The sequence below is a fragment of the Homo sapiens genome, chromosome 2 (assembly GCF_000001405.40).
Source record: "Homo sapiens chromosome 2, GRCh38.p14 Primary Assembly".
Classification (NCBI taxonomy): domain Eukaryota; kingdom Metazoa; phylum Chordata; class Mammalia; order Primates; family Hominidae; genus Homo; species Homo sapiens.
Window position 1 is genome coordinate 195,813,839 of NC_000002.12, and position 13,308 is coordinate 195,827,146.

The 13,308-nt window shown below is 36.4% G+C and overlaps 1 protein-coding gene across 8 annotated transcripts in view; it reads right to left on the reverse strand.

Moving 5' to 3' along the window:
* DNAH7 (dynein axonemal heavy chain 7) overlaps positions 1-13,308 on the reverse strand; it is a 331,135-nt gene that overhangs the window by 76,136 nt on the left and 241,691 nt on the right. For 6 of the 8 annotated variants that reach the window (XM_011511488.4, XM_017004504.3, XM_011511490.4 and 3 more), the window contains 3 exons: positions 10,417-10,607; positions 3,858-3,991; positions 2,790-3,125 (listed from right to left, as the gene is read on the reverse strand). In XM_011511488.4, the coding sequence (XP_011509790.1) occupies positions 2,790-3,125; positions 3,858-3,991; positions 10,417-10,607 (661 nt within the window). Of the gene's footprint in view, positions 1-2,789; positions 3,126-3,857; positions 3,992-10,416; positions 10,608-13,308 lie in introns of those variants that run through there. The other 2 variants (XM_011511491.4, XM_011511494.4) reach the window with 2 other exon arrangements.

Below are 13,308 nucleotides of genomic sequence, written 5' to 3' on the forward strand. Positions count from 1 at the left end.
TCCCCAACAATAGAAAACTAACAATTAAATAAGTAAGTAAAACACTGCACTAGAGAAAACAATGTGCATTAATTTCACAAGCATGACGTTGAGTGCAAGATATCAGACACAAAAAAGCAGACACTGTGTGATTTTATTTATATGAAGTTCTAAAACTGGCAAAAACTAACCTGTGGTGTTGGAAGTCAGGACAGTGGTCACCTTGGGGGAGAGGGTTAGTGATCAGGAGGGGACACTTCTGGGCTGTTGATAATGTTCTGTGTCTTGAGTTAGGTGCTGGTTACACAGGTTTGCTCACTTATGAGAATTCACTGGGCAAATACTTCTGATTTCTGCACGTTTCTTCATGTGTATTGATAACTTCAATAAAAGTTTTAAAATCTATTTTCTCTATTTACCTTTTGGTTCCAAAATTATACTTTTAGTATTACGGCAGACATACATAAGATTTTAATTGTTTTGAAATTAAAGAAGTTCAACTAAAAAGAAAAGGCCACATTTTGTTTTCTAAATTTCATCCAAATCACACATCTGGGTAAAAAGGATTTGCTTTTCCTTATATCTTAAGGGACAAAAGCACAGTAATGAAGAAACAAATTTCATACCTTGGATGAGTTCTAACTTGATATAATAGGAGACAATAAAGGACCCATCATTATTTTCAAAGCATAGGATTGTTTGAATTTTTAAAGCTTATATGAAAAATGTCTTTAAATGGCAGACCAAAGAAATTTTCTTCTCTAGACTCCAGAAAATACCTTGATTTTAAGCTAATTAACAGATTAACATTCTAGTGGTTATTGTTATAAGCAAGGTAGAAATTAAGACCAGTAGTGAAAAGCAGAGCATTATTTATTGTGTGGCTATAATGTGATTAGCACTGTCGTAACTACTGGGAATAATTTTTTTTTTTCTTTTGGAGATGGGGTCTCACTCCCACTGCCCAGGCTGAAGTGTGGTGGCACAATCACGACTCACTGCGGCCTCAACCTCCTGGGCTCAAGTAATCCTCCCACCTCAGCCTCCCCAGTAGCTGGGACTACAAGCCCACACCACCGTGCCCAGCTAAATTTTTGTATTTTTTGTAGAGATGGGGTTTTGCCATGTTGTCCAGGCTGGTCTCAAACTCCTGGACTCATGCAAGCTGCTCATCTTGGCCTCCCAAAGTGCTGGGCTTACAGGTGTGAGCCACTGTGCCCAGGCTGGGGATAATTTTTTTTTTTTAATTCTTGTCCCACGGAACTCAGAATCTAGTATGAAAACCAGACATGCATGTTTAATTAACTAACTTATAATGCAAATAGCTGGGAACTTTTCTAAGAAAGATCACTTAAAATTTTGTTTTATTTCTGTAATCCTTGCTAAACTTGAAAATTTCAGAACTGGAAGAAATAAACTAAACATTTTCAAATATCATAAAGATGAATAAACTCTATCATTACGCAATGCATTTCTTCCAAAAAAAATTACCTACTCCCTCTCTTTCTCAATGGCAGATATCTATATATCTATATATATTTTTGGCCAAGCTCAAAGTGTCGGACTCACACCTTTATTAGTCTCATATTCAAACTTGTAAAATAATAAATCTTACTAACAAAAAATTGCTAAGTCTAAGAACACTCAAAATTTTAGACCTCTACTATGATAAAGGAATTAAATTCAGATTTTAGTGAGATTAACATTTTGGATTTCTAAAAATAATTCTTAGCTGTGAGTGATAAAAATTAAATTGAGTTTCCCTTGTGGGTCTGAACAGTCAAGAAACTGAAGTATTTAGGTTCATACTGATCAAGAAGGTTATAAAAGGCAAAAGTTGTTATTAATTACTTTCTTTTTTCAAAAAGTAACTACACATTAAACTCTATTAAAAACATGTCTTGGCCGGGCATGGTGGCTCACGCCTGTAATCCCAGCATTTTGGGAGGCCGAGGCAGGTGGATCATGAGGTCAGGAGATCAAGACCATCCTGGCTGACATGGTGAAACCCTGTCTCTACTAAAAATTAGCCGGGCATGGTGGTGGGTGCCTGTAGTCCCAGCTACTCAGGAGGCTGAGGCAGGAGAATGGTGTGAACCCGGGAGGCGGAGTTTGCGTGAGCCGAGATTGCGCCACTGCACTCCTGCCTGGGCGACAGAGTGAGCCTCCGTCTCAAAACAAAACAAAACAAAACAAAAACATGTCTTAATACCAAACTGAAAATTATCTAACTGATTTTAAAAAATCAAATGAAATTTAATTCTCTTGTAGATTTAAGTCAGGTCTTAATTCCATTACTTATTGTAATAGCCAACAGTAATATAAAGTATTTTATGTAAATAAGAATAATAGAAAAGAAGATCTATTACCACAAATAATCGCAACAAGGCTTGGGATTTTTTTACCCTAGCATTTGACAAATTTTACAGATGTGTATATTAAACTGTGAATTTGCAACTTTTAGAATGCCAGTTCGTACAGGAGTCATATTTTAAAAATTATTAACTACTCTTTCTACACTTCCATTCATAAATATATTTTGCAGATGAAAAATAAGGTAAACGTTTTCTCTTTCTAGAATTACATTATAATTCTAGATCTCTGTAAACAGTTTCTTGGCAGATTGAATTTGGACACATCTGTTCAATTTCTAACCCCCATATTTACTTCTGATACGATGATTAATCAAGTTCATTTTAGGTAAGTGGCTGTAATGCTTGTACCACTCTGAGACAACAATAGAGGTCACAAATTACTCTCTGATTTCATGCATTAATTAGTTAATATTAACTAGTATTTCCTTTACATACCTTTTTGCCAAAATTTCTGATTTCTCTGAATTTTCAATAGACAGGATGAAAAGGTTAATAAACCAGGTCAGTGAATACTGGTACATGGGCTCAATGTTGGCTAAATCAGCAAGAGAAAAAAATAGGATGGAAGAATGGATGGCAATAGGACGATAGCCCATGCGGGTGGTGTCAATCTTTTTCTCTGTCTCTTCGGCTACTTCCTGCTTCTGAGAAATCTCATTAGCCAAGGCCTTGGAGGAAGATAATATCTTAATAGCAGTTTCATCTTCTAATATATTGCCTTCCGAAGATGAAAGAACTTCTAAAATCTTGTCTTCTATTTCTTTTAACTGCCTGGAATAAAACAAAATTTTCTTAGAAGAAAAAGAAGTCATTTAAAATCATTTCACGTATATGTTCTTTTATAAGAAACAAAGAACTTGTAACCTAAAGAAATGCATCACTTTGTGACAAATATCTGTAATGGTGATGCCTTATAATTAATTTCTTATCTCGTAAAATGTCACAAAGATGGGCCTTTCTGCTCCAGTTCCCTTTTTAATGATCATTTATGGGCTAACTAGAGAGAAATACGGCAAGCCAATTTACTCTGCCATCAAGGATCTCAGCTCAGAGTGAATAGAAAGTAGCACTCCATTTATTTTCTGAAATGTTACATGACTTATACAGCTTTACTCTTTCTACCTATGATACAGATGTTATGAGCAGAAAGTGGGATGCAACATATTCATTCATACCATGCTCCAGTAAAAACAGCTTACCTCAGTTACACAGTGAATACCAAAACTCTTGTGCTAAAACTTTGTGGAATATTTGAAAATACCCTGCCCTGACTTCTGGCAGGCCTTCTAGCTCTTCCAGTGCCTAAGAACTTGCATGTAAAAATATACTCAGTAACGCAGTTTTCTAAATTGACATAGAGGTATAATTCCTTACATTTTCCTGTTATATTTTCCCTTGCAGTATTCCTATTAAATCTAACAAAAGAGATCTGTAAAATGTATTTTAATTCATTCTAGTGATCTAGAAACAAATAAGAATAGTTCTGTTTATGACATTTAAAACCTTTTATTTTCAGCTCCTTGTAATATCAAGGCTTGCTTTTCTTCTTCAAGGTCTGGCCTTTCTTGTGCCACCACAATTCCCAGAAGCTGATCTTGCATTCCCTCAGGGGTTATCATGAAGTTTAATAATGTTACCTATAAATGAAAAAATATACAAAAATTACATCATTATTTCTGTTAAAAAGTCTCTGCTTTTATGTGTCAAGTTCTGCCCTTAAAATAGACTCTATTTACTATATATGGTAGTACTTGTGAAGGTGTAATTTGTAGAGACTATGATTAACGACATAGGCAAATATGATTGTTGGATTTAAAACCCACCTCAGTTTCTCATAGTCAAAAATCTAATACCTCAAAGGGTTTGTTTGGTGATCAACTTATTCTCATTTCAAACTAGTCCAATTTCTGAGAACTCTTTAACAGCAAAATTCATTAGAATCAGGTTGGAAGCTATCTTTCATTTCAGTTGATCAGAGCATGGTATAATATATGGTTCAAAGCCTGGCTCTAGAATCATAATAGTTGGACCAGCTGATTTACATTTTAAGGATTCTAGTGGTGTCAAAAGTAAAGGAAATCTTACAAAGTGAGATAAGAGAAAAGGGAACACTGTAGTTACTTGTCATGAGTGAAGTATTTTTACAATCTGATAATCAGCCACTATTGTGAACTAAGGAATTTACATTTTCATGGTGTCCATCAAGACTGTCTGCTAACACCTGCTTCATCTGGGGACCTAATTGCTCTTACAGGCAGGTCTCTCTTCATTGTCCACATCTCCTGTTTCTTTCCCATAAGCATGCAAACATGCTGAGGACTCTTTTTTTAAAAAAAGCAAACAACAAACAAATCATTCTATTGCTCCCACAATCCTTTCCAGCTATGGAATAACCTCTCTTTGGGCTTTCGAAACGACACTTATTGAAAATGTTATTTATATATATTTTCTGCCTCCACTTTATTTCATGATACAGCCCTTTACAATCTGCTCCCTGCCCTGCCTCTGCACACTCATCCACACACACTGCTATAAACCATAGTAACTTCCTGGCTCTGGTCACCAATGAACCCGTAAGTCAATAAACACTGTCTTGACCTTGGCTTCATTTGAAATCCTCACTTTTTTTTTCATGTATACTGCAGTCTGCCTGACCTAATGTCTTGAATCACATCTATGTCTTTTTTTAATAATAAAGATGGCTCTTTATTATCACCATGTATCACCAATCTTTTTAATTTTTAATTTTTATGGATACATAACAGTTGTATACATTGCACCTATGTCTTAAGCATCACCTCCCACTACTCCCATTCACATGCCTTTCATTTTCCTGCAAGGAACTGATTGTGGAATCCCATACACACTATCTATGAAATGCCTCCATGTGCTTCAGTGTTTGCTCTACGCCCTTCCCCTTGTTATCCACCAGATTAGCTCCTATTCATCTGTCAGTGTGCAGATCAAGTGTCAGCTCCTCTTGGACACTTTCCCATACAATGTGTTCTACCCAAATCACTACCCCAAGCTACTTTCTGCACTTCCTCATAGGGGTCTTAACTCATTACAGCACATATTACACTGTATGCAATCATGGGCATATATACCTCTCTCCCAGACCAGAATGAAAGTAACTTTAGCACAGGGGTCGTCTCTTATTTGACTTCATGGTTGTATTGTTCAGCACAAAGTCATGCTCCCTACAAACTTATTGAATGAACAATCAGAATGCCCACATTCCCTGTTCATAGAGTTGCTCTCTGCTACTTCTATTTCCTAAAATTTTAGTCACTTGATGATTCTTCCCAAAGGCATTTTATATAAAATAATAGCTACCATGAATCAGGCTCTATGATATAAAGAAGAGTAAGATACAGTCTGGTCCCTGCCCTCAAAAAGTTTTCATCTAGTTGAGCAAACAGAGGAACAAAGAACATACATTGGGATAAGGACTCTGAGAGTGGACAGCTTGCAATGCTACAGGAGCACAGAGGGCACCCAACCCAGCTCAGGGAGGCAAAAAGGACTTCCCCCAAGCAAAGGACACCTGAGCTAAAACTTAAGCGTGATCAGCAGTTAGTCAAGAGAAAGAAGAGGGCAACATTCTACAGGGCAGAAAGTTTCAACCTTGGATGCTGATTGGAATATACTGTGAAATTTAAAAACCAGTAGTGTCTGGGTCTTATGTCCAGAGAGTTTGGTTTAATTGGTCTAGAGTGTGGCCTGAGTATTTGGAGTTTTAAAAGCTCTCCAGGTGACTTCAATGTTCAGCCAGGATTGAGAACAATTGCTCTTGGCAAACGAAACAGCATAGACAAAGCAGCAGAGAAAGCAAAGCACGTTTAGAGGAATCTATTCTACCACTGGAGAGTGTGCAGGTATGACCCAAGGAGCACTCTTCGTCTACTACCTATAATTGAAGGCAAACATTTTCTACCACATGTATCAGAATTCAATGTGTGCAGTCGGCAATATTAGAAATACTTGTTTTTTAACACAGGAACAGAAAACCAAACACCGCATGTTCTCACTCGTAAGTGGGAGTTGAACAATGAGAATACATGGACACAGGGAGGGGGACATCACACACTGGGGCCTGTTGGGGGGTATGAGGCAAGGGGAGGGAGAGCATTAGGACAAATACCTAATGCATATGGGGCTTAAAACCTAGATGACGAGTTGATAGGTGCAGAAAACCATCATAGTATATGTATACCTATGTAACAAACCTGCACGCTCTGCACATGTATCCCAGAACTTAAAGTAAAATTAAAAAAAAAAAAAAGAAATACTTGTTTTTTTACCCTTGAAAATGCTACAAAAATTTCAGCAACTACCACAAATCATCAGAGGTGACTCAGTGTTTGCTCCTGATTTCATCATTTCCCTAATGAAAGGAGGTTCCTTAATAGAAAGTACTTTCCCAAACCCAGATAACACCACTGCATTCTATATGTTAGTGACAATTTTGTCCAAAACTTTTAAACACATTTTCGATCACAACTTAACCTAAATTGTAGCAGCTAAAAAATGCCATTTTGGCATACCGAAATCTGAGGGTTTTTTTAAATTAGAATTTTAATTCGAATCATAAAACATGTGAACTAGGAGAGAAGAAACAACCCCATGGGCAAACTACCTACATGTAGCAGATTATAATCAACCAAACCCAATACAGGCAGCTTATTCAAAAGATTTATTTGCAAAGCAAAAGCGTTGTTCTTGTTTTTATGTTTTATTCCTCTCAAGGCTCTGCTAGTCTATGAAGTACCTTGTGTGGATTAGAAAAAGATGTTGTCTGCATGCAGAATCAGCCCCGCACCAGGCCAATGCCTAAGCAACTTGGGGCTAGATTTCAGCCCTCTTCAACTCCACCTTTGTTTTATGTACAGACTGCACAACTATAGAAGGAGCCATCACTCTCCCTCCTAAAGACAAGCAGTGTTTTACCCAACTGGTGGGAAGGTTAAAAAAAAAAAAAAGAAGAAGAAGAAGAGTCAAAAATGTTATTTTTCTAATCTTAATGACTTTTTTAAAGCACCTTTGGAGGTTTTGCCTGATTTATAAATTGTTTGCATTGCCAAGGCTCAAAGGTTTTCCTTTTTTACAAACTAAAAATAGGTAATGCTGTTACTGAGGTTGCTGTTCTCTCTACTTTTGGTTTTTGTCTTTTCATCTGTTGTTTCCTGGTGGGCAGGTCTTTGCAAACCTACCCCTGAAATCAGCAGAAGCTGAGGCTGAAGAAAGAGGCTGACATATCTAACTTCTTAGAAAGAAACATCTAATAGGGACTTAACAAACATAAGCCATGTCTGTGTCCTGGGTGGCAGGGAGACAAGTCGGTGGATCCCTGTGCCATTACCCACAAGACCCAGGGCTCATATATCACAGGAGAAACGATTTAGAAGAGATGTGTAGAATAATTGAAGGTTGTTTGACCGAAGAGCAGAACGTATGGTAAGTACCTGCTCTTACAGGAGGCACAGTAGATAAACTGGAAATCTTAGACCTTTCCCGGAACAGAGGTAAATCAGAAGCCAACTTGGTGGATTAGCATCCAAGATGGAGTTGCTTTAGCCTCCACATCTCTGTATTCCCAGCTCCTGCTACTGGGTGGGAGATATCGTGTTTCCCTGCTTTTACTTATAAGAAAATATTTCCTCTGCAGGGACAGAGTAATTTTATTTTTGTAAGAAAATGTCCTGCCTGTGGCCAATAAGTGTAAAACAGCTTCTTGCAAAACCCCTAGGAAGATGATTCCCTCCTTCCGCCCACACCTAGGCACCTCCTCAGTGGGGTATTATCTGGGTTAAAAACTTTTCCCCCACTTGTCCCATGGCAGACCATGGAGGCCACTAACTATAGACTACATAGATATAATCATAAATTTATATGAGATAAGCAATTTTTAAAATTGAGCAATTTGGAAAACTCATTAAATGTTATGTAATTCTCTACTGCTTTGCCATTTATTCATGGAAAAAGTATAAAGCTTTGAAGATATTTTCCCTATTGGCATGAGAAACCAAGTCCACAGGCTACATTTGCTTTAATCCAAAAACCATAGGCACAGTGGTAGCAAAATGCATGTTTTGCAACTTTTACTTCACTGTGTTCAGACACAAGGAAGTATCCATTCATATTCCATTAATGTTGGGTCCTTTCACATCAAGACTTTTCAAATCAAGCCATTTATTCTCAAATAAACATTTAAGAACATAAACTATGGTTTCATAATTTTATTTTCATTTAGACTCAAAAGGATTATACCAGCACGACACCATCCCTTGGGTGCTTTTGAAAGCAAAAGGTACATAAAAGATCCTAAAAGTGGGATCCAGAGGAAGTATTATAATTTGTAAATGAAAGCAAGTAACTGCCTCACTATGTTTTCTAATCCCTGTTTAATCAATCCCAGCAATTAAAAATAATAAAGCAATAAGACACTCTAGGGATCTTAAGGGTTTTGATACTGAATCATAGGTCAGTTTCCTCCCCACAGCACTTTATGACTCCTACCATAACCAGTTATTAGTGAACTAAAAATTGTTTATGTTATGTGCGATAGTTCCACGTATTTTACTGAACAGTAAAAAAGGTTTTCCATGTCATTTACTTAAACATTTTTCTCTAACACAGCTCTGGGATTTTATCATTTCCTTTTTGCTTCCTTCTTTTTCACTTATATTTAAATGTTAAATAATATTGCTAATAAGTAACACTCATAGTAATACTATCTATTGGCTTTATTCTAAGCATCTTATGCAGATTAATTTATTTAATTCACATCACTCTATGAGATAGATACTTTTATTATTCTCATTTGACAGATGAGAGAATTGAGGCACAGAGAGGTTACATGAAATGTCCCAAATCGCACACCTGGCAAGTAGCACCCCAATCTATGGCCTTAACTACTACTGGATATTCCCTTCCCTAGCAGGTAAATACATAGTAGACATTTGAAAGTGTTTAAATAATATTGGATTTTAATTAATTAAAAATAGCCAAGAATTTCCATGTTTTAACATTCTGTTTTTAAAATTAAGTTCAAGGGTCACTCCATTTTCCCCTAGTCTTCCTGACATCCCTGAATGTCCACCCTAAGTATATCCTCAACTCTGAGCTCCCAGGACACATTGCAGCTCCGCTGTGTCTTCCTAGTCACACAATTCGGTCACTTTGCATACACATTATTTATAAGATAGACCTCTGGAGAGCAGGGATCATGTTTATTCATCTTGGAGGGAATAAATTACACCATCTCGATCTTTTCTCTGCCTCTCTGCAGAGAGATGCCTATGTTAATTTAAATATTTCCAATACAGGCAAGTATTTGAATTCACTATATAACTCTTGCCTCTCTATATAACTTTCAAAATCTAAATAAGCTTCTTAATGTCTTCTCCTGCTTGCCTCTGTAAATGAAAGCAATCCTTCACTCACTCATTCACTCACTCCACAAACATTTAATGAATGCCAACCAAGGCTAAGAAGTAGGACTAAAAACAGAATAAGGTGTAGGCCATAAACCTAGGAGCTCAGCTGCAGATCAACATCTCAGGACATTTTAGTCACTGACTAAAAAACTTTAAGCTCAATTTACTCTTTAAAGGAATTTTTAGTATTCTAAAAGAAGTGATTGAAAACAGTTCTTTTAAGTAATTACATAAAATCAGACAGCAGCAACCTTAGTCTGAGAAAGAAGAATGGAGTTCTGTTTCTGAATTTCAATTTCAATAATTAGCATATAATCATTTATTACAAAGAAAGAATGTGGGCATATATCTTCTATTTTTAACAATGAAAATCTAAGAATCATATCAATTGTAGAAATTTGATTCTGATGACCTTTTTTCACAGCATGCTGAAGTTTCCTTTATTACTTACATGTACTCACCAATGCAACATTTGGAAATTATTATAGCAATAATTTTAGGAAATACCAAAATAAGGCAAAATCCGTTTTTCTTAGGAAGACTTGTTCTTCTTATGACTCAGGAGGAATATATAGTCACTAATTACAAAATCTGATAAAGAAACATTCATTTTATATACTGGCCTTTACTGATGTTTCAGGAAGATAATGAGGATTTCTTAACTTGGTAGTAATATAGAAGCGGAAGTCAGGTGCATATTCAATTGTGGAGTCCCCAAGCCGGATACATGTACTCCCACCCTGCTTAAAGGTTTGTTTTAGTAGAAGAGGTTCCAAAATAGGATCTAGTTCTTCGCCAACATTTTCTAGCAACACTGGAGTAAAATCAGAAAAGATTTCATGTTATTTTAAATATTGACTATAAATATTATAAATATTCAACCCTCCAAGTTCTTTCAGCCTTATAGATAAATTCTGTTCCTAGATACCTACAAAATTACTTTTGTCTTCTGAAAAGTATAAAGAAATAATGCCATAAAAATAGCTACATTCTGTGGGAAGGACTTAAGTGGTGGGTCTACCTAGTCATCCTGCCTGCTTCCCTTCTCCTGAGTCATAGTCCTGCTGGGTGCATGCTGCCTGGCCTGGGGTTCACCAGGCGCCCAGGTATTATGGCAGTGAAGTTTATCCATCTGAGACACCAGAGAAAAGGCATTTCCAGTTGTAGTTATTTAAATTGTTACCGTATTTTTAATTATTAAAAATGCTTATTGTAGAACATCTGCAAAGTACAGGAAGAAAGGTATAAATAAGAAATGGAAAACTGCTCCTAATTAGATTTGCTTAATTACTCTCTCTACTTCTCCCTAATATTTTAATAATTGACTCACACAGTATATAGATTGATAGAAAAATGACACAAAGGCCAGGCACAGTGGCTCATGCCTGTAATTCCAGCACTTTGAGAGGACGAGGCAGGAGGATTGCTTGAGTCCAGGAGTTCAAGACCAGCCTAGGCAACATGGCGAGCTCCTGTCTCTACAAAGAAAACACAAGAATTAGCCAGGTGGCAGCTACTTGGGAGGCTGAGCTGGGAGGATTGTATGAGCCTGGGAGGCCAAGGCTGCAGTGAGCCATGATCAAGCTACTGCCCTCCAGCTTGGGCCACAGAGCAATATCCTGTCTCAAACATAAATAAGGAAAAAAAAAAAGAAAAATGACACAAACTACATATAGTATAACTGTTGAATAAATTGTTATCTCTCTAGTGTTATTTATCTTTCTCCACACATAGTTGAGACTAAACAACACATTGAATTTTGCATGCTAATTATTTTTTTGACTTAACAGCATAAATGTTTCCCCATGTTATTGAAAACTCTAATAAGCATGCTTTTAATCACTGCATAATAGTGTATCATATTAGTGTTCTCTTTTTTAAACCAGTATTCAATTATTAGATATTTGGATTGTTTCTTGTTCTGAATATTATAACAAACACTGTATTAAAAAAAACTGCATTTCAGAATATTTTCCTCTGATAGCATTCTAGAACAGGAATCCCTGGATCAAAGATCAGTGACATTGTTAAGGCTATTGATATCTTTGCTGAGTAAAGTCTTACATTTTGGTGTTTGGGATGCTATCATAGCCAAATTTGGATGATGGCATTTTGTAGAAGTCCCTCAAAGGATGGGTGTACAATCTGGATGGGAAGGAAGGGGCTCAGGGTGCTGGGGTGACAGGTATTTGGATCTCAATTGCCATGAAAGTGCAGACATATTTTCTCCTTCCCACAGGTTACTCCTGGCTAAATGAATTCCTAAAATTGTCTTCTTGGTGATTTGCTCCATTGCTGAGATCTCAGCCAACAGCCTGTCAGATTATTTTTGAACTCATTTTTATTTTCTACTTGCATAAAATGATTATTTTTCATGGTTAAATAATATGAATGCATCATAATGTATTAAATATGTTAATTTTCTGTTGTTTAGATTGCTTCTACTTTTATACTATTATTAATAATGCCACAGTGAACATCTTTATGAATGAACCTTTGTGTTCATCTCTAATTACTTAATCAGGCTGGAGCCCTAGAAGTAGAATTAATGGTCAACAGTTATTAACATTTTAAAAGCTATTTATATTCCAAGTTACTTTCCTGAAAAGCTGTAGAGATTTCAGAGTTGCAATGAGCACTCATTTTGTCATTTGTTTTTAAACCTATTTTTACAAAATATCACTGTATTTACAAATGCTGGACACCATGCTGGCACTGTATTTTCTTGTCATGCTCATAACTGTAAAAAGTATGTTTTGCAGATGAAATAGGACAGGCAATCAAAATAAATCAAAATAAATTTTTCAGTTAAATCAGCTAGTAAATGACAAAGCAAAGCAGGGACATGAACCTGGCTGTCTGGCTCCTTCGTCGCTCTCTTAACCACTATACCATACTGTCAGCATTCAATAATGTATCTGTGACTTTTATTATTTGATAGATAAAAAATACTGTTAAAATTTATATTTTTGGCAGGGTGTTTTTAGCTGTTCTTTGGTTAACTATATATTTTTTTCTGGAAACTGTATACTAACATACTTGACCATCTTTTCATTGTAGGATATATTATTTACAATTAGGTTCAGTGACAACCGTCAGAAAACCCAAAATAATAGCAACGACAAGGAGAAATTTATGTCTCATGTACAGGAGAGCCCAAGATAGTCAGCTCAAGGCTGAAAGGACAGTGTATCTAAATAGTGAGGGATCCAAGATCCTGCCATCTTGCAGCTTTACTATTTTTGGCAAATGGCTTTGATCTCTTTGGCCAATATGGCCTTTTATACCACATCCACATTCCAACCATTAGAAAAAAAAAAGAAGAAATATCCTTTAAGGGTGTTTCCTGGCAGTCACAAATGGTACTTCCACTCTCGTCTTGTTGGCCAGAATACAGTAATTTGAGCAAACCCAACCATAGTCATATGGCCATATATAACCACAACAGAGGTTAGAAAATACAGTTCTTTACCCTGGATGCAATGTGCCCATGTAACACAGGGGTGCTGATACTA